The 18712-nt window shown below is 45.5% G+C and overlaps 1 protein-coding gene across 7 annotated transcripts in view, besides 1 other annotated feature; it reads left to right on the top strand.

Annotated features, from left to right (window-relative positions):
- Positions 1-17449, top strand: part of LATS2 (large tumor suppressor kinase 2) — an 88551-nt gene extending 71102 nt beyond the window's left edge. For 5 of the 7 annotated variants that reach the window (NM_014572.3, XM_005266342.1, XM_047430266.1 and 2 more), the window contains 5 exons: positions 1181-2604; positions 6679-7261; positions 8837-9019; positions 10688-10794; positions 15121-17449. In NM_014572.3, the coding sequence (NP_055387.2) occupies positions 1181-2604; positions 6679-7261; positions 8837-9019; positions 10688-10794; positions 15121-15615 (2792 nt within the window). In that variant the 3' untranslated portion in view covers positions 15616-17449. The remainder of the gene's footprint in view (positions 1-1180; positions 2605-6678; positions 7262-8836; positions 9020-10687; positions 10795-15120) is intronic. The other 2 variants (XM_017020542.2, XM_047430267.1) reach the window with 1 other exon arrangement.
- Positions 14362-14863: an enhancer, noted in NCBI's record as "H3K27ac hESC enhancer chr13:21549761-21550262 (GRCh37/hg19 assembly coordinates)". NCBI's record gives its function as "activates a minimal SCP1, AML or CMV promoter by ChIP-STARR-seq in naive H9 embryonic stem cells {active_cell/tissue: H9 hESC(naive)}" and the evidence as "EXISTENCE:reporter gene assay evidence [ECO:0000049][PMID:30033119]".
- Positions 17450-18712: the final 1263 nt, after the last annotated feature.

Raw genomic sequence — 18712 nt, 5'->3', positions numbered from 1 at the left:
AAAAAAAAAAAAAAAAAAAAAAATCCTAGTAATTAGCAAGAGTTTTCCCTATTTTGTGGAAGACCTTGGATAAAACCTACTTCATGTGGGTGAGAAAAATCTCACCTTTGTAAGTTATATCTCCATTGTTAAAAGGACACACATTTTTGTTTTCTTCTTAAGAGAAGGAACTTCCTTAAATAGCCCCCAGCTGGCCATCCATGTCAGAATTCTTCCAGTTTTGAGGCCTTAGAGCACAGCTCAAAGGGAAGGCCAGGCCCATGTTCCGTGCTGATTTCCCTCTGCACTTGCCTTTGGTGTGTCTCTTCACTGACGTCTTCTGGGCCCAGGGAAAACAAAGCCTTGGTGTGCCTGTGACCTTTGTTCAGTGCCAGGCTGTCAGGGCCTTCACTCTGCCAGGTATCGGGGTGGTCTTCCTGTGGGCAAGGCCCAGCCTTTCCACCCTTCGGCACCCTCTGCTAAGCCGAGCCAAGTGGAGCAGTTGGCCTGAAGAAATGAAAGGAACCTTTGTCCTTCCTTCCGGTGTCTGTTTCAGATGAGATGTACAAAATGGAGGTCAGGATTAAGGTAGCAGCAGATGAAATCAATCTGGATATTTGTAGAGGGGTTTTGTGTGGTTTTTATTATTGTGTATATATTGCTTTGTTTTAATATAGACAAAAAAAACTAGAAAGTCTTTTAATTTGGAAAAGAGGTGAAAGAGAAGTGGAGCAGCTGCTGCACAGTGGATACAGTTCTGCCCTTTCTGTGAGGGAGCAGCGCTTTGGGAACCGTGTGTCGGTAAACTCAGCCCCCCACAATTTGGGCATGATAGGGTTTTGAAAAAGCAAAGCTGGCTATGCAGACGGCTCCCTAGCCTGACAGGAGAGTGACCCCAGTGTGGTCCCCAGGGGGCAGGGACGCACCTCGGGATGTGGACGCAGTCTTCTCTTCTGCCCTTGGCCCTCCCATGTGCCCTTCAGCTTGTCTCCACTCTGCTAACACATTAGGGCAACTGGTCCTGCTGGCAGGGCAGAGGGGAGTCCACTGACCCTGTGCTGGGCAGAATGCAGCACGTCAGGGCCCAGGGTTCAAGACCCTCAGCCCCGAGGGCAGCGCTAGAGTGGGGACCAGCCTGGAAGTGCCAGAACCCACTGATCACACCCACTCTGATGCTGTCTTCCTGTTTTTTCCACTGCAGGAAAGGGGCTCATGCCAACCCCAGTGACGCGGAGGCCCAGCTTCGAAGGAACCGGCGATTCGTTTGCGTCCTACCACCAGCTGAGCGGTACCCCCTACGAGGGCCCAAGCTTCGGCGCTGACGGCCCCACGGCGCTGGAGGAGATGCCGCGGCCGTACGTGGACTACCTTTTCCCCGGAGTCGGCCCCCACGGGCCCGGCCACCAGCACCAGCACCCACCCAAGGGCTACGGTGCCAGCGTAGAGGCAGCAGGGGCACACTTCCCGCTGCAGGGCGCGCACTACGGGCGGCCGCACCTGCTGGTGCCTGGGGAACCCCTGGGCTACGGAGTGCAGCGCAGCCCCTCCTTCCAGAGCAAGACGCCGCCGGAGACCGGGGGTTACGCCAGCCTGCCCACGAAGGGCCAGGGAGGACCGCCAGGCGCCGGCCTCGCTTTCCCACCCCCTGCCGCCGGGCTCTACGTGCCGCACCCACACCACAAGCAGGCCGGTCCCGCGGCCCACCAGCTGCATGTGCTGGGCTCCCGCAGCCAGGTGTTCGCCAGCGACAGCCCCCCGCAGAGCCTGCTCACTCCCTCGCGGAACAGCCTCAACGTGGACCTGTATGAATTGGGCAGCACCTCCGTCCAGCAGTGGCCGGCTGCCACCCTGGCCCGCCGGGACTCCCTGCAGAAGCCGGGCCTGGAGGCGCCGCCGCGCGCGCACGTGGCCTTCCGGCCTGACTGCCCAGTGCCCAGCAGGACCAACTCCTTCAACAGCCACCAGCCGCGGCCCGGTCCGCCTGGCAAGGCCGAGCCCTCCCTGCCCGCCCCCAACACCGTGACGGCTGTCACGGCCGCGCACATCTTGCACCCGGTGAAGAGCGTGCGTGTGCTGAGGCCGGAGCCGCAGACGGCTGTGGGGCCCTCGCACCCCGCCTGGGTGCCCGCGCCTGCCCCGGCCCCCGCCCCCGCCCCCGCCCCGGCTGCGGAGGGCTTGGACGCCAAGGAGGAGCATGCCCTGGCGCTGGGCGGCGCAGGCGCCTTCCCGCTGGACGTGGAGTACGGAGGCCCAGACCGGAGGTGCCCGCCTCCGCCCTACCCGAAGCACCTGCTGCTGCGCAGCAAGTCGGAGCAGTACGACCTGGACAGCCTGTGCGCAGGCATGGAGCAGAGCCTCCGTGCGGGCCCCAACGAGCCCGAGGGCGGCGACAAGAGCCGCAAAAGCGCCAAGGGGGACAAAGGCGGAAAGGATAAAAAGCAGATTCAGACCTCTCCCGTTCCCGTCCGCAAAAACAGCAGAGACGAAGAGAAGAGAGAGTCACGCATCAAGAGCTACTCGCCATACGCCTTTAAGTTCTTCATGGAGCAGCACGTGGAGAATGTCATCAAAACCTACCAGCAGAAGGTTAACCGGAGGCTGCAGCTGGAGCAAGAAATGGCCAAAGTAATTTCACACTTCATTTTTACTATTTGTTCCCGGCTCATCCCTCTACTGGCAATAGGAAGCACGCACAATCCCTTTTCTGTTTCGACTGTATACCCCTTATCATCAAAACGGCTAATGGGCGACAGTCTGGTTCTGGGGCCAACAACTTGGAGAAGTTGCAAATGGTGTGACCTCCCTTTCGCCTTTCCCCTTGACTCTTCTGAAGAATCAGAGATAGCTGTGCATAATGTAGCCAGCGTAATGTAGGTAATCTACAATTTACATTGTAGGTAAATTAGCAAATTAAGTTTTAGGGTATGTCCTCGCTTAACAAAATTCATCATGGATTAATAATAGAACATTTGAATGAGTAGAAACAAAGTTTAAGGTTTTGTAAATTGAGATTGTGGGATTTTGGAAGAAAAATGTATCTAGTAGTGATTCCATTTATTCTTTTAAGTGTTTAGTTAGTAACTAATGATTTAAATATACCTTAGTTGACACTGAAGTGCTGAAGAAGGTAATTATTGATGAAACTATTTAAATTAAAATGTAACAGATTTAAATCACACAAAGCCAATAATTCCAAAGCCTGAAAACCAGATTTGTGTTCTTTTCAGTGTCCCGTATTCACTGATTTTTTTACAGATATACTTTTCATTTGTGTTTTTTTTATTTTTATTTTTTATTTTTTAATTTATTTTTAGACGGAGTCTTGCTCTGTCACCCAGGCTGGAGCGCAATGGCGCGATCTTGGCTCGCTGCAACCTCTGCCTCCTGGGTTCAAGCGATTCTCCTGCCTCAGCTTCCCGAGTAGTTGGGGTTACAGGTGCCTACCACCACGCCTGGCCATTTTTTTGTGTTTTTAGTAGAGACGGGGGTTTCGCCATGTTGGTCAGACTGGTCTCGAACTCTTGACCTCAGGTGATCTGCCCACCTCGGCCTCCCCAAGTGCTGGAATTACACGTGTGAGCCACCACACCCAGCCGTTTATTTTTTATTTATACATAGTATTTGTAGATTTGTGGGGAACATGTGATATTTTGTTACATGCATAGGATATGTAATGATCAAGTCAAGGTATTTAGAGTATCCATTGCCTGGTGTATTTATCATTTCTGTGTTGGAAGCATTTCAAGACCTCTCTTCTAGCTATTTTGAAATATTGAATACATTTTTACTAACCATAGTCATACTAGTTAGAGTTTGTTCCTTCTATCCAGCTGTATGTTTGCACCAATTAACTTCTCATCTCCCCTCAACACACACACACCCTTTCCCACCTCTGGTAACTATCATTCTACTCTCTACCTCTATGAGATCAATTATTTTAGCTCCCACATATCAGTAACAGTGTGTGGTGTTCTAACCGAACTTCTGTTCCTGGCTTATTTCACTTAACATAATGACCTCCAGTTCCATTCATGTTGCTCCAAATGACAGGATTTCATTCTTTTTTATGGCTGAATAGTATCCCATGGTGTACACAGACCACATTTTCTTTATCTGTTCATCAGTTGATGGACACTTCAGTTGATTCCATGTTTTTACTGTTGTGAATAGTGCTGCAATAAACATGGGGTGCAGGTATCCCTTTGATATACTGATTTCCTTTCCTTTAGATAAATACCCAATAATGGGTTTGGTAGATTGTATGGTAGTTCTATTTTTAGTTTCTTTTTTTTCCTTTTTGATAATAGTCGTTCTAACTGGGGAGAGATTATATCTCATTGTGGTTTTCATTTGCATTTCCCTGATGGTTAATGAGCATCTTTCCATGCACCTCTTAGCCATTTGTGTATCTTCTTTTGACAAGTGTCTATTCAGGTCATTAGCTCACTTTTTTTTCTTTTTGAGACAGAGTTTCGCTCTTGTTGCCCAGGCTGGAGTGCAATGGCACGATCTCAGCTCACCACAACCTCCGCCTCCCGGGTTCAAGTGATTCTCCTGCCTCAGCCTACCGAGCAGCTGGGATTACAGGCATGCACCACCACGCCCAGCTAGTTTTATGTTTTTGTAGAGACAGGGTTTCACCATGTTGTTCAGGCTGGTCTCAAACTTCCGACCTCAGATGATCCACCTGTCTCAGCCTCCCAGGGTGCTGGGATTACAGGTGTGAGCCACCGCGCCTGGCCTTATTTTATTTATTTATTTTTTAATTAAGACGGAGTCTTGCTCTATTGCCCAGGCTGGAGTGCAGTGGTGAAATCTCGGCTCACTGCAACCTCTGCCTTCTGGATTCAAGCTATTCTCCTGCCTCAGCCTCCTGAGAGCTGGGACTACAGGTGTGCGACACCATGCTCAGCTAATTTTTGTATGTTTAGTAGAGACGGGGTTTCACCATGTTAGTCAGGCTGGTCTCAAACTCCTGACCTCAAGTAATCCGCCTGCCTCAGCCTCCCAAAGTGCTGGGATTACAGGCGTGAGCCACCATATCTGGCCTTTTGGCTTACTTTTTAATGGGATTATTTGATATTTTTTTTGCTGTTGAGTTGAGTTCCTTGTATATTCTGAATAATAGTCTTTTGTCAGATGAATAGTTTGTGAATATTTTCTCCTGTTCAACACAGGTATCCTCTTTACTCTGTTGTTTCCTTTGCTCTGCAGAAGCTTTTTAGCTTAATATAGTCCCATTTGTCTACTTTGGGGTTTTTTTGCCTGTGCTTTTGAGATTTTAGCCATAAAAATCTTTGCTCAAACCAATGTCCTGGAGTATATTTTCATAGCCTCTGGTCTTATTTCTAGGTCTTTAATCTGTTTTAAGTTGACATTCCTATATGGTGAGAGATTGGGGTCTAGTTTCATTCTTCTGCATATGGATATCTAGTTTTCCCAGCATGTCTCTTTTTCAGTGTACATTCTTGGCACCGTTGTCAAAAATCAGGTGGCTGTAAATACGTGGACTTATTTCTGGGTTCTCTATTCTGTTCCATTGGTCTATGTGTCTGTTTTTATACCAATACCATGCAGTTTCAGTTACTCTAGGCTTGTAACATATTTTGAAGTCAGGTAACAATTTTGTTCTTTTTGCCTAGGATTGCTTTGAGTATTTGGGCTCCCTGTGAATTTTAGTATTGTTTTTTCTAGTAATGTGAAAAATATCATTGGTATTTTGATAGGGATTGCATTTAATTGGTAGATTGATTTGGGTAGTATGGTCATTTTAACAATATTAAATCTTTCTGTCGGTGAACATGGGATCTCTTTTCATTTGTTTGTGTCCTCTTTAGTTTCTTTCTTCAGTGTTTTGTAGTTTTCTTTGTAGAGCTCTTTCACTTTTTGGTTAAATTTACTCCTAGATTTTTTTTATAGCTGTTGTAAATGGCATTCATTATTGGTGTACAGAAATCCAGATATCCATATGCAGAAGAATGAAACTAGACCCTATCTCTCACCATATACAAGTCTATCTAATGTATGCTACTGATTTTTGTATGCTGATTGTTGACTTTTCTTCCTGCTTTCCCATTTTCCCTGAGTTACTGAAAGATTAGATGGCTCTTGGAGTTCTAGGAATGCTGTGGTCCCCTTTTCCACAGATTTGTGTTAATAGAAGTTTCCCTTAGTTTTTAGAGCCAAAAGTATCCTAGAGAAAGAACTTTCTTTTTTATCTTAACTTTTCATTCCATATTCATGTCTATATATGGATATAAAAAAACAAAACTGGCCGGGCACAGTGGCTCAAGCCTGTAATCCCTGCACTTTGGGAGGCCAAGGTGGGCAGATCACCTGAGGTCAGGAGTTCAAGACCAGCCTGGCCAACATGATGAAACGCTGTTTCTACTAAAAATACAAAAATTAGCCAGGTGTCATGGTGGCGGGCACATGTAGTCCCAGCTACTCGGGAGGCTGAGACAGCAGAATCGCTGGAACCCAGGAGGCGGAGGCTGCAGTGAGCTGAGATTGTGCCACTGCACTCCAGCCTAGGCGACAGAGCGAGACTCTGTAGTATATGAGACCCATTCTTCTCTGTTCTCCTTTCTGTAAAATGAGCTAGGTTCCTCTCAGTTCCAGGGCATCCCCATCCCAGTCATTTGTTATCATGGGACTTCTCTAATGTGATTCTTCCTCCTTCCTTTTCCTTCTACACAGGCTGGACTCTGTGAAGCTGAGCAGGAGCAGATGCGGAAGATCCTCTACCAGAAAGAGTCTAATTACAACAGGTTAAAGAGGGCCAAGATGGACAAGTCTATGTTTGTCAAGATCAAAACCCTGGGGATCGGTGCCTTTGGAGAAGTGTGCCTTGCTTGTAAGGTGGACACTCACGCCCTGTACGCCATGAAGACCCTAAGGAAAAAGGATGTCCTGAACCGGAATCAGGTGGCCCACGTCAAGGCCGAGAGGGACATCCTGGCCGAGGCAGACAATGAGTGGGTGGTCAAACTCTACTACTCCTTCCAAGACAAAGACAGCCTGTACTTTGTGATGGACTACATCCCTGGTGGGGACATGATGAGCCTGCTGATCCGGATGGAGGTCTTCCCTGAGCACCTGGCCCGGTTCTACATCGCAGAGCTGACTTTGGCCATTGAGAGTGTCCACAAGATGGGCTTCATCCACCGAGACATCAAGCCTGATAACATTTTGATAGATCTGGATGGTCACATTAAACTCACAGATTTCGGCCTCTGCACTGGGTTCAGGTGGACTCACAATTCCAAATATTACCAGAAAGGTATTGTCTGAAGTGTGCCACATGCACTTTCTATGTGTAGATGTCACTAACCCCATTGCAAGCAACTAAATTTCCCATCCTAGTGGCTCCTAATCATTTTGAAATTTTTATCTGTCACTCCATTATTTTATAAATTGGTGTGACATCCTTCCCTTCCAAAAGGAATAGTGTGATATGCATTTTTTTTTAAGGTAGTGGATTTCAGGTTTACTTTTTTTTTTTTTTTTTTTTGAGACAGAGTTTCGCTCTTGTTGCCCAGGCTGGAGTGCAATGGCGTGATCTCGGCTCACTGCAACCTCTGCCTCCTGGGTTCAAGTGATTCTCCTGCCTCCAGCCTCCCGAGTAGCCGGGATTACAGTCACGCACCACCACCTCTGGCTAATTTTGTATTTTTAGTAGAGACGGGGTTTCTCCGTGTTGGTCAGGCTGGTCTCAAACTCCCAACCTCAGGTGATCCGCCTGCCTCCGCCTCCCAAAGTGCTGGGATTACAGGTGTGAGCCACCGTGCCTGGCCTACTATATTTTTAAGACAGTAGGCTACAAGGTGTCACGGGGCCTTTGTGGGGAACCATCACCTGCCTCATTAAAGCAAGCCTTAAAAAATAAAAGATTTGGCTGGGCATGGTGGCTCACGCCTGTAATCCTAGCACTTTGAAAGCCCAAGGTGGGCGGATCACCTGGGGTCAGGAGTTCGAGACCAGCCTGACCAACGTGGAGAAACCCCGTCTCTACTAAAAATAACAAAATTAGCCGGGCGTGGTGATGCATGCCAGTAATCCCAGCTACTGGGAGGCTGAGGCATGAGAATCGCTTGAACCCGGGAAGCAGAGGTTGCGGTGAGCTGAGATCGCGCCATTGCGCCCCAGCCTGGGCAACAAGAGCGAAACTCTGTCTCAAATAAAATAAAATAAATAAAAGAGTCACAGCCTCCCAAGGAGCCCTCTCTTATAGCCAACCTGCATCTATGTAGTGTATCATTGAACTCCATTTCCTATAGTTCTGCCATTTGGAAAAGCCAAAAACAGCTGATTATTATCTTCTTTATGGCTGAGATTCTTGAAGTAGTTATTTTAATATCATCACTTAGTCTTTTTTCTCTAACTCAAAACTAACTCTAAATCATTTAATTCATTCTCATTTTCTGGCATTGAAGTAACCTTTGTTCATGTTGTTTAAATCCTCCTAAGTTTTCCATGCTCATCTTAAAACATGTGTCAGGCAGTTGTTACCTTTTGATTATGGCCTAAGCGCTAGGAGTGCTGTCCCCGCAGTTCTTCCAGCCTCTCCTGCCTGCAGTGCCTTCCTGCCAGCTCAGCACGGTGCATGGTGTCCTGTGATTCTTCACCGTCATTTCTACCTTGGTGCTAGCGCCAACCTCACCACGTGTGTCTCCAAACTAGGAACAGCAGGCTGCCCCTATGGAGCAGCTCAGCGGGGATTCTCTGTCCTGATATGTCAGGAGCTGATTGGAATGACTTTGCTGTTTTAAGCTGTGGATCTGTTGAGTTATTGAAGAGTGAAAATTCACTTTATATTTTGTTCTTTTCTTTCACTATCCCTGATTCCTGGGTGAAGGGAGCCATGTCAGACAGGACAGCATGGAGCCCAGCGACCTCTGGGATGATGTGTCTAACTGTCGGTGTGGGGACAGGCTGAAGACCCTAGAGCAGAGGGCGCGGAAGCAGCACCAGAGGTGCCTGGCACATTCACTGGTGGGGACTCCAAACTACATCGCACCCGAGGTGCTCCTCCGCAAAGGTACATGCGCCATGGCCAGCCACCCCGCAGGAGGTCTCCTTCCCTTCAGACGTGAGCTGAGTCTCGCTGGCTCTAGCTTTCCAAGGACCTAATGCTTCCAGTCATATTTTTGTCCTCATAGAAGCCTGAAAGCTACTAATTTCTGCAACATACAAGCCTCCCTCCTGTCCTGGAAGTGCTCTTGCTTCAGGGGGTTGGAAGACATGCACCATTAGACCAGTGTCTGCTGGCCCTCGGGCTCTACCTAGACCCAAGGGAATGACTCCAGCCCTGATTTTCACAGTCAGATGATGGAAACCACTCTGAGGGCCACAGGACCTCTGCTCAGTCTGCCCAGACCACACATTTCCGGGCTCTAGCTTTAACTTCTGTCTCAGGCTCCTGGCTGAGTTGTGCCGTGTGCAGCTGGGTGCTTATGTGACAGCGTTGGAAGATCCTTTTTCTCTCATTCTCCCTGCTAGACCATAAGCAAAAGTGGCAGGTGCCAGTTGTGTAAAATGACTAGTGCTCATAACATTTGCCTCCTGGATGGATGCTTCATTCTGTCAAATGCAACATCTGGTTCAGTATAGGAGGAATCCTTCAGTGATCCTGCATGGTCCACAGTGACAATGGGGTGTAATTAATCCAGAGACAGGCAGCCCCTGCCATCACATGTTGTTTAAAGTCCTTTGGAGCCAGCCAGACTCAGTTCAAGTCTGGGTTTTCTTTGCTAGCTGTGGTAATCCAGCACAAGTTACTTAACTACTCAGACCACAGACATAGCAATAACGACCTTGAGAGGTTGTGAATAACCTTGGTGCCCAGTGAAGGTCTACTTCCCTCTACCACGTGCAGCATTCTCAAGAAACCATTGCTTGGGGTTTTTCTGCAGCCTCTGTTGCCAAACTTGGACAGGAAGAGGTGGGACGGAGAGATAGCAGAGGGGCCTGAGGGGGCTACCCTGGCATATGCAGCTGCAGGCACCCGCAGACTGACCTCTTAACATCCCAGTTTATACTTAGCAAGGATTAGGTGACATGAAGACGATCCTGGCTTGATGGGTCATGAGGCTCTGAAGGAAAAGTGGGAGAAAATAAGAGGTAAACGAGCCTAGCCTACAGCCTCCCAGAGGCCAGCCCTGACCCAGCACAGCTGGGAGCCCCGTGAGGAAGGCCCGGCTCCGTAGGGGCCTCACACAAGGAGTGTTTGGCTTACAGTGAATTGTCCGGTGGGTTTTGCCCACCTCCTCCTCATCTCCGTATTCTTCAGCTTCATCCAAAACTGACTTAGAAGCCTCCCTTGACCCTCACCTGACTATTCACAGGTTATAGCACTTTATGTTTTTCAGTTCTGTTATTTTAATTGGTGCCTCTGTTTGTGATCTTTAAGAACATAAAATTCTGGCTAGTAACTATTTGCTAACAATAAAAATAATCTTTTTAAATTAAAAAGTATTTTCTTATTACAATGATTAAAAATACAAAAACCTAAGCGGCCATGGCCACCGCCCCCCACCACCCCACCCAGTAGTATCCAGGTACTTACATAGGTCCATCTTGCGCACAGTGCGATGCTTCAACGCGCTTTCCCACTTAACAGGAAATCTGTATGTTCAGCATCTTAATGAAATTCACCTCGGAGGAGAATTCATGCCTGTGTAGGGATTGAGTGAACTTTGTCTTGCAGGGTACACTCAACTCTGTGACTGGTGGAGTGTTGGAGTGATTCTCTTCGAGATGCTGGTGGGGCAGCCGCCCTTTTTGGCACCTACTCCCACAGAAACCCAGCTGAAGGTAATGTGAGAGGAACCACGCATCTGCTTGCTGTAGACATCTGATTTGCTCATGTACCCATGAATCTTTGGTCAGCATTTGCCCTCTTATTCTGAGTAGGGTAGGAATGGCAGTTGTATAGGATGGGATTTTTAAAAATAATCTCATTATTTTTTAAATTATCTATTTTTAAATTTTCTATTTTGATAAGCAAAGCCATGGAATTGGACCCATTTTAATATCTGAAATTCTATTAAACCCTTGGCCATCTGCCACCTTGCTATTTCCAGGCAAGAACAGTGAGGATCAGCAAAGGTGTGCTGCTGATCCACTGTCTCCCCCACCCACACCTGCCCTGCAGAGAACACACGGAACTCCAGGAACTATAGTTCACCCCTCAGCAATGAGGGGTTTGGGGTGCCAAACCCCCTGCACAGTCAAAAATCTGCATAACTTTCAACTCCCCAAAAACTTTACTAATAGCCTGTTGACTGGAAGCCTTACCAGTAACATAGCGTCAATGAACACATATTTTGTATTTTATATGTATTAGATCCTGTATTCTTACAATAAAGCAAGCTAGAGAACAGAAAATGCTGGCCAGGCGCAGTGGCTCATGCCTGTAATCCCACTACTTTGGGAGGATCATAGGCTGGGCGCAGTGGCTCATGCCTATAATCCCACCACTTTGGAAGGCCAAGGTGGGCAGATTACCTGAGGTCAGGAGTTCAAGACCAGCCTGGGCAACATGGCGAAACCCGTCTCTACTGAAAATACAAAATATTAGTCCATCATGGTGGTGTGCACCTGTAATCCCAGCTACTCAGGAGGCTGAGGCAGGAGAACCACTTGAACCCAGGAAGCAGAGGATGCAGTGAGCCGAGATCACACCACTGCAGTCCAGCCTGGGTGACAGAGTGAGACTCTGTCTAAAGAAAAAAAATCATAAAGAAGAGAAAATAGGTTTACTATTTTAATAATTGAAAGTGGATCATCATAAAGGTCTCCATCTTTGTCATCTTCATGTGGAGTGGGCTGAGGAAGGGGAGGCATTGGCCTTGCTGTCTCAGGGATGGCAAAGGTGGAAGAAAATGCTAGTGTAAGTGACCCTCAAACTGTGTTGTTCAAGGGTCAACTGTATCTAAAGAAAGCAGTTTCTTTATTTGGATATTATATCATTGTTCGCAAACTGTCAGCTATGTGGTCAGGCTAGTTGTGCATATTCCTAATATTCATTCAAAGTAGTTAAATAATTGTCAGTCATTTAATACTAAATTATTAGTTTTAAAATGACAGCCATTTGCTTTCTGAAATGAGTTACTAAGGGTTGAACTGAGAATTGAAATTAAGAATCTGCAGTCTTCTGTGGACATACCAACTGACACACAGTCCTTGGAATTTTCACATGCCCTGGTGGTCATGTGAGCCACCAGGGCATGTGGTTATTAGGCCAGGGAGCCTAAATTAATAACTTTAATTAGAAAATCTGTCTAGTAAGGTTGGGCGTGGTGGATCATGCCTGTCATCCCAGCACTTTGGGAGGCGGAGGCGGGCAGATTACGAGGTCAGGAGATCGAGACTAGCCTGGCCAACGTAGTGAAACCCCGTCTCTACTGAAAATACAAAAAATTAGCCTGGCATGGGGGCGGGCGCCTGTAGTCTCAGCTACTTGGGAGGCTGAGGCAGGAGAATCGCTTGAACCCAGGAGGCAGAGGTTGCAGTGAGCCGAGATCACGCCACTGCACTCCAACCTGGATGACAGAGCGAGACTCTGTTTCAAAAAAAGAAAAAAGAGAAATCGAAAAACCCTAAAGTAAGGCTTAGTTTCACTCTAGGAACAGTAAAATTGGAATCTGGCATTATCTGCGCCCTAATTGAATGGCTGAGCTACTCACTAAATTGCCCACATGATAATTCAGATTTTTTTATTCTGGTAAAATATACATAACATAAAATTTACCATCTAATTATTTTAATGGTAAATTAAAATTTACCATCTAATTATTTTAATGGTAAATTAAAATTTACCATCTAATTATTTTAATGGTAAATTAAAATTTACCATCTTAATTATTTTAATTACCATTTATTTAATAATTATTTTAATTATTTACCATTTTTAATTATTTTAGTGTATAATTCAGTGACATTAAGTACATTCACAATATTGTGCAACCATCACCACCCTCTATTTTCAAATGTGTTAATCGTCCCAAACCCATTAAACAGAAACTCCCCACTCTCCTTTTCAGCACCTGCTCGCCTCTCTTCTGCTTCCTGTCTCTGTGAGTTTGGTTATGCTTAGGACTTTTTTTTTTTTTTTTTTGAGACAGGGTTTTGCTCTGTATCCCAGGCTGCAGTGCAGTGGCACAATCTTGGCTCATTGCAACCTCTGCCTTCCGGGTTCTCATGCCTCAGCCTCCCAAGCAGCTGGGATTACAGGTGCCTGCCACAACACCAGCTAATTTTTGTATTTTTAGTAGAGATGTGGCTTCATCATGTTGGTCAGGCTGGTTTCAAACTCCTGACCTCAAGTTATCCACCCACCTCAGCCTCCCAAAATGTTGGGATTATAGGTGTGAGCCACTGTGCCTGGCCTCGGGACTTCTTGTAAGTGGAGTCATGCAGTATCTGTCTTTTTGTGTCTAGTTTATTTCACTTAGCGTAATGTCCTCAGGGTTCATCCATTGTTGTAGCTTCCTTTTTAAGGTGGAATAATAATTCCACTGTATGAGTCCCTGCTTCCGGTTCTTTTGGATATAAACCAGAAAGTGGGTTTATATCCCACTGGATTATATGGTCGTTCTGTGTTTAACTTTTTGAGGAACTCCCAAACTGTTTGCCATAGTGGCTGCACCATTTTACATTCCCACCAACAGTGACTGAGTGTTCAGTTTCCCTACATCCTCAATAAGTATTTTCCTGTTTTTGTTTTTTTTAAGTAGTAGCCACCCTAGGGGATGTAAGGTGGTATCTCATTGTGGTTTTGAGTTGTATTTCCCTAGTGTTTAATTATATTGAGCTTATTTTCATGTCCTTATTGGTCATTTGTATATCTTTGGAAATATCTCCTCAAGTCCATTACCCTTTTTAAATCAACTTATTTGGTTTTGTTATTGTTGTTGAGTTGTAGGAGTTCTGTATTTTCTCTGGGTACTAACCCCTTTTCAAATACATGTTTTGAAATCTGTTCTCCCATTTTGTTGCCTTTTTGCTATCAGTAATGTCCTTCGATGCACAAAAGTTTTAAATTTTTATGCAGTCCAATTTATTTTTTCTTTTATTCCCTGTGCTTTTGGTGGCATGTCTAAGAAATCATTGCCAAACTCAGGTTCATGAAGATTTCACCCTATGTTTTCTTCTAGGAGCTCTACAGTTTTAGCTCTATGAAAACAACTACTTAGGTTCAAACCAAGCCTACCACCCACACACCCACTAACTTCCATGCCTTATCCGCTGTCCCATCACCCCAGCTGGTAGCCAGTCATGTTGGCCTTGTTTCCTCCTGATTCTAAGTGTAAACAATAAAGAAGTCCCCTAGGTTTTGTCTTCACAGTAGACACATCTCTACAACAAGTGCATTTACTGAACGTCCAGATGGCTGGTTTGTGCAGTTGAGCATGTAAGGTCACATGGGGTCAGTCAGCTTTATTCTTCCCTATGAAGTTTTTCCTGTTTGTTTTTCAAAACCCCAGTTGGCCGTTTTTTGACCGCAATAAGTATTTGAATGAGCGTCATGATGGTTTGCAGAAAGCCATTGCCATAGCTAAAGAAATAACTTTAGCTGATCACCTGAGGTCAGGAGTTCAGGACTAGCCTGGCCAACGTGGTGAAACCCTGTCTCTACTAAAAATACAAAAATCAGCCGGGTGTGGTGGCAGGCGCCTGTAATCCCAGCTACTCGGGAGGCTGAGGCAGGAGAATCGCTTGAACCCAGGAGGCGGAGGTTGCAGTGAGCCAAGATCGCACCACTGCACTCCAACCTGGGCAACACAGCGAGACTCCATCTCAAAAAAATAAAAAGAAAGAAAGAACTTGTAGACCATCATTCTCTTCATTTTTGTGGAAAGCACAAAATTCTTTGGCTAAACAGTATTTCTGATAGAAGAAAATCAGTATCTTTTTGTCTGTATTTGACTGGTCATCCTGGCCTCAGGCTGTGAGCCATCGACTGAAATGACACTGACTTTTTGTGGCTGCTGAGATCAACAACTGCTGCTTGTGTCTATTCTAACTCCTCTCCTATTGTGAAACTAAACATATTTGAAAGTCACGTCATCACACGCTGTCCCAGAACTGCCCAAGATGTGAGGAGAAACTAACCTGTTGGCTCTGTTGTTTCCTCAGGTGATCAACTGGGAGAACACGCTCCACATTCCAGCCCAGGTGAAGCTGAGCCCTGAGGCCAGGGACCTCATCACCAAGCTGTGCTGCTCCGCAGACCACCGCCTGGGGCGGAATGGGGCCGATGACCTGAAGGCCCACCCCTTCTTCAGCGCCATTGACTTCTCCAGTGACATCCGGAAGCAGCCAGCCCCCTACGTTCCCACCATCAGCCACCCCATGGACACCTCGAATTTCGACCCCGTAGATGAAGAAAGCCCTTGGAACGATGCCAGCGAAGGTAGCACCAAGGCCTGGGACACACTCACCTCGCCCAATAACAAGCATCCTGAGCACGCATTTTACGAATTCACCTTCCGAAGGTTCTTTGATGACAATGGCTACCCCTTTCGATGCCCAAAGCCTTCAGGAGCAGAAGCTTCACAGGCTGAGAGCTCAGATTTAGAAAGCTCTGATCTGGTGGATCAGACTGAAGGCTGCCAGCCTGTGTACGTGTAGATGGGGGCCAGGCACCCCCACCACTCGCTGCCTCCCAGGTCAGGGTCCCGGAGCCGGTGCCCTCACAGGCCAATAGGGAAGCCGAGGGCTGTTTTGTTTTAAATTAGTCCGTCGATTACTTCACTTGAAATTCTGCTCTTCACCAAGAAAACCCAAACAGGACACTTTTGAAAACAGGACTCAGCATCGCTTTCAATAGGCTTTTCAGGACCTTCACTGCATTAAAACAATATTTTTGAAAATTTAGTACAGTTTAGAAAGAGCACTTATTTTGTTTATATCCATTTTTTCTTACTAAATTATAGGGATTAACTTTGACAAATCATGCTGCTGTTATTTTCTACATTTGTATTTTATCCATAGCACTTATTCACATTTAGGAAAAGACATAAAAACTGAAGAACATTGATGAGAAATCTCTGTGCAATAATGTAAAAAAAAAAAAAGATAACACTCTGCTCAATGTCACGGAGACCATTTTATCCACACAATGGTTTTTGTTTTTTATTTTTTCCCATGTTTCAAAATTGTGATATAATGATATAATGTTAAAAGCTGCTTTTTTTGGCTTTTTGCATATCTAGTATAATAGGAAGTGTGAGCAAGGTGATGATGTGGCTGTGATTTCCGACGTCTGGTGTGTGGAGAGTACTGCATGAGCAGAGTTCTTCTATTATAAAATTACCATATCTTGCCATTCACAGCAGGTCCTGTGAATACGTTTTTACTGAGTGTCTTTAAATGAGGTGTTCTAGACAGTGTGCTGATAATGTATTGTGCGGGTGACCTCTTCGCTATGATTGTATCTCTTACTGTTTTGTTAAAGAAATGCAGATGTGTAACTGAGAAGTGATTTGTGTGTGTGTCTTGGTTGTGATTGGATTCTTTGGGGGGGGGGAACTGAAACATTTGTCATATACTGAACTTATATACATCAAAAGGGATTAATACAGCGATGCCAAAAAGTTTAATCACGGACACATGTCCGTTTCTGTAGTCCGTATGCTCTTTCATTCTTGGTAGAGCTGGTATGTGGAATGCCATACCTCTGACCCTACTACTTACCTTTTTACTGACAGACTGCCCACACTGAAAGCTTCAGTGAATGTTCTTAGTCCTGTTTTCTTCTGTTACTGTCAGGAAACTGAGTGATCTAATGGTTCTCTCACTTTTTTTTTGTTCTTTTAGTGTACTTTGAAGTATCAAATCTTAACTTGGTTTAAACAATACATATTCCTAACCTTTGTAAAAAAGCAAAGATTCTTCAAAATGACATTGAAATAAAAAGTAAGCCATACGTATTTTCTTAGAAGTATAGATGTATGTGCGTGTATACACACACACACACACACACAGAGATAAACACAATATTCCTTATTTCAAATTAGTATGATTCCTATTTAAAGTGATTTATATTTGAGTAAAAAGTTCAATTCTTTTTTGCTTTTTAAAAAATCTGATGCTTCATAATTTTCATTATATTATTCCACATATTTTTCCTTGAAGTTCTTAGCATAATGTATCCATTACTTAGTATATATCTAGGCAACAACACTTAGAAGTTTATCAGTGTTTAAACTAAAAAAATAAAGATTCCTGTGTACTGGTTTACATTTGTGTGAGTGGCATACTCAAGTCTGCTGTGCCTGTCGTCGTGACTGTCAGTATTCTCGCTATTTTATAGTCGTGCCATGTTGTTACTCACAGCGCTCTGACATACTTTCATGTGGTAGGTTCTTTCTCAGGAACTCAGTTTAACTATTATTTATTGATATATCATTACCTTTGAAAAGCTTCTACTGGCACAATTTATTATTAAAATTTTGAATCCAAATCCCGTAGTTGGTGTCATGTCTTACTGGAGTTTGTAAGTCCTTGCCTCTCTCAGCATGTTGTAACTCCCCCATGCTTCCCCTGTGACACATGAGCCAGGGTTGCACAGCACAGACAGGGCTGTCTCAGGAATGTCTTGGGGTGTGGAAAAGTAGGCTTTCCAGGTAGACACATGAAGTCCAAATCAGGCTGTGGTTCTGTGACCAACTTGCGTAAAATGGGAACAAAATATGCCTCATTAGGATTACTGAGTGGCTTAAGTGGGATGTCAAATAAATATGGTGGGTGATCAAGTAAATCATGAATAAGAGCTAATTCCCCAGCATAATATGTTAAACTGAGAGGACAGTTAGAGCTCCTGACCTTGCATTTTAAATTGTTGATGAGGCCTGGTGCGGTGGCTCACACCTGTAATCCCAGCACTTTGGGAAGCTGAGGCTGGTGGATCACCTGAGGTTAGGAGTTCAAGACCAACCTAGCCAACATGGCGAAACCCTGTCTCTACTAAATAACTAAATATACAAAAATTAGCTGGGTGGGGTGGTGGGTACCTGTAATCCCAGCTACTCGGGTGGCCGAGGCAGGGAGAATTGCTTGAACTTGGGAGGCAGAGGTTGCAGTGAGCTGAGATTGCACCACTGCACCCCAGCCTGGGCCACAGAGCAAGACTCCGTCTTAAAAAAATAGACTGGGTGCAGTGGCTCATGCCTGTAATCCCAGCACTTTCAGAGACCAAGGCGGGTGGATCATCTGAGGTCAGGAGTTCGAGACCAGCCTGACCAACATGGTGAAACTGTCTCTACTAAAAATACAAAAAAATTACCGGTTGTGGGTGGTGTATTCCTGTAGTCCCAGCTACTTGGGAGGCTGAGGCAGGAGAATCACTTGAACCGAGGAGGTGGAGGTTACAGTGAGCTGAGATCATGCCACTGCACTCCAGCCTGGGAAGAAGAGACAAACTCTGTCTCAAAGAAGATAGATAGATGATAAAGATTGATGGTATTAGAAATCTGGAAAATATAAGAGTTTGTATACTTTAAATAGGTACAGTCACATGGTTTAGAAATCAAAACATACTGGCCGGGCACGGTGGCTCACACCTGTAATCCCAGCACTTTGGGATGCTAAAGTGGGCAGATCACCTGAAGTCAGGAGTTTGAGATCAGCCTGGCCAAAATGGTGAAACCTCATGTCTACTAAAAATACAAAAATTAGCTGCACATGGTGGTGTGCACCTGTAATCCCAGCTACTTAGGAGGCTGAG

The sequence above is a fragment of the Homo sapiens genome, chromosome 13, assembly GCF_000001405.40.
Source record: "Homo sapiens chromosome 13, GRCh38.p14 Primary Assembly".
Taxonomy (NCBI): domain Eukaryota; kingdom Metazoa; phylum Chordata; class Mammalia; order Primates; family Hominidae; genus Homo; species Homo sapiens.
This window is presented reverse-complemented; position numbering and strand designations above follow the sequence as displayed.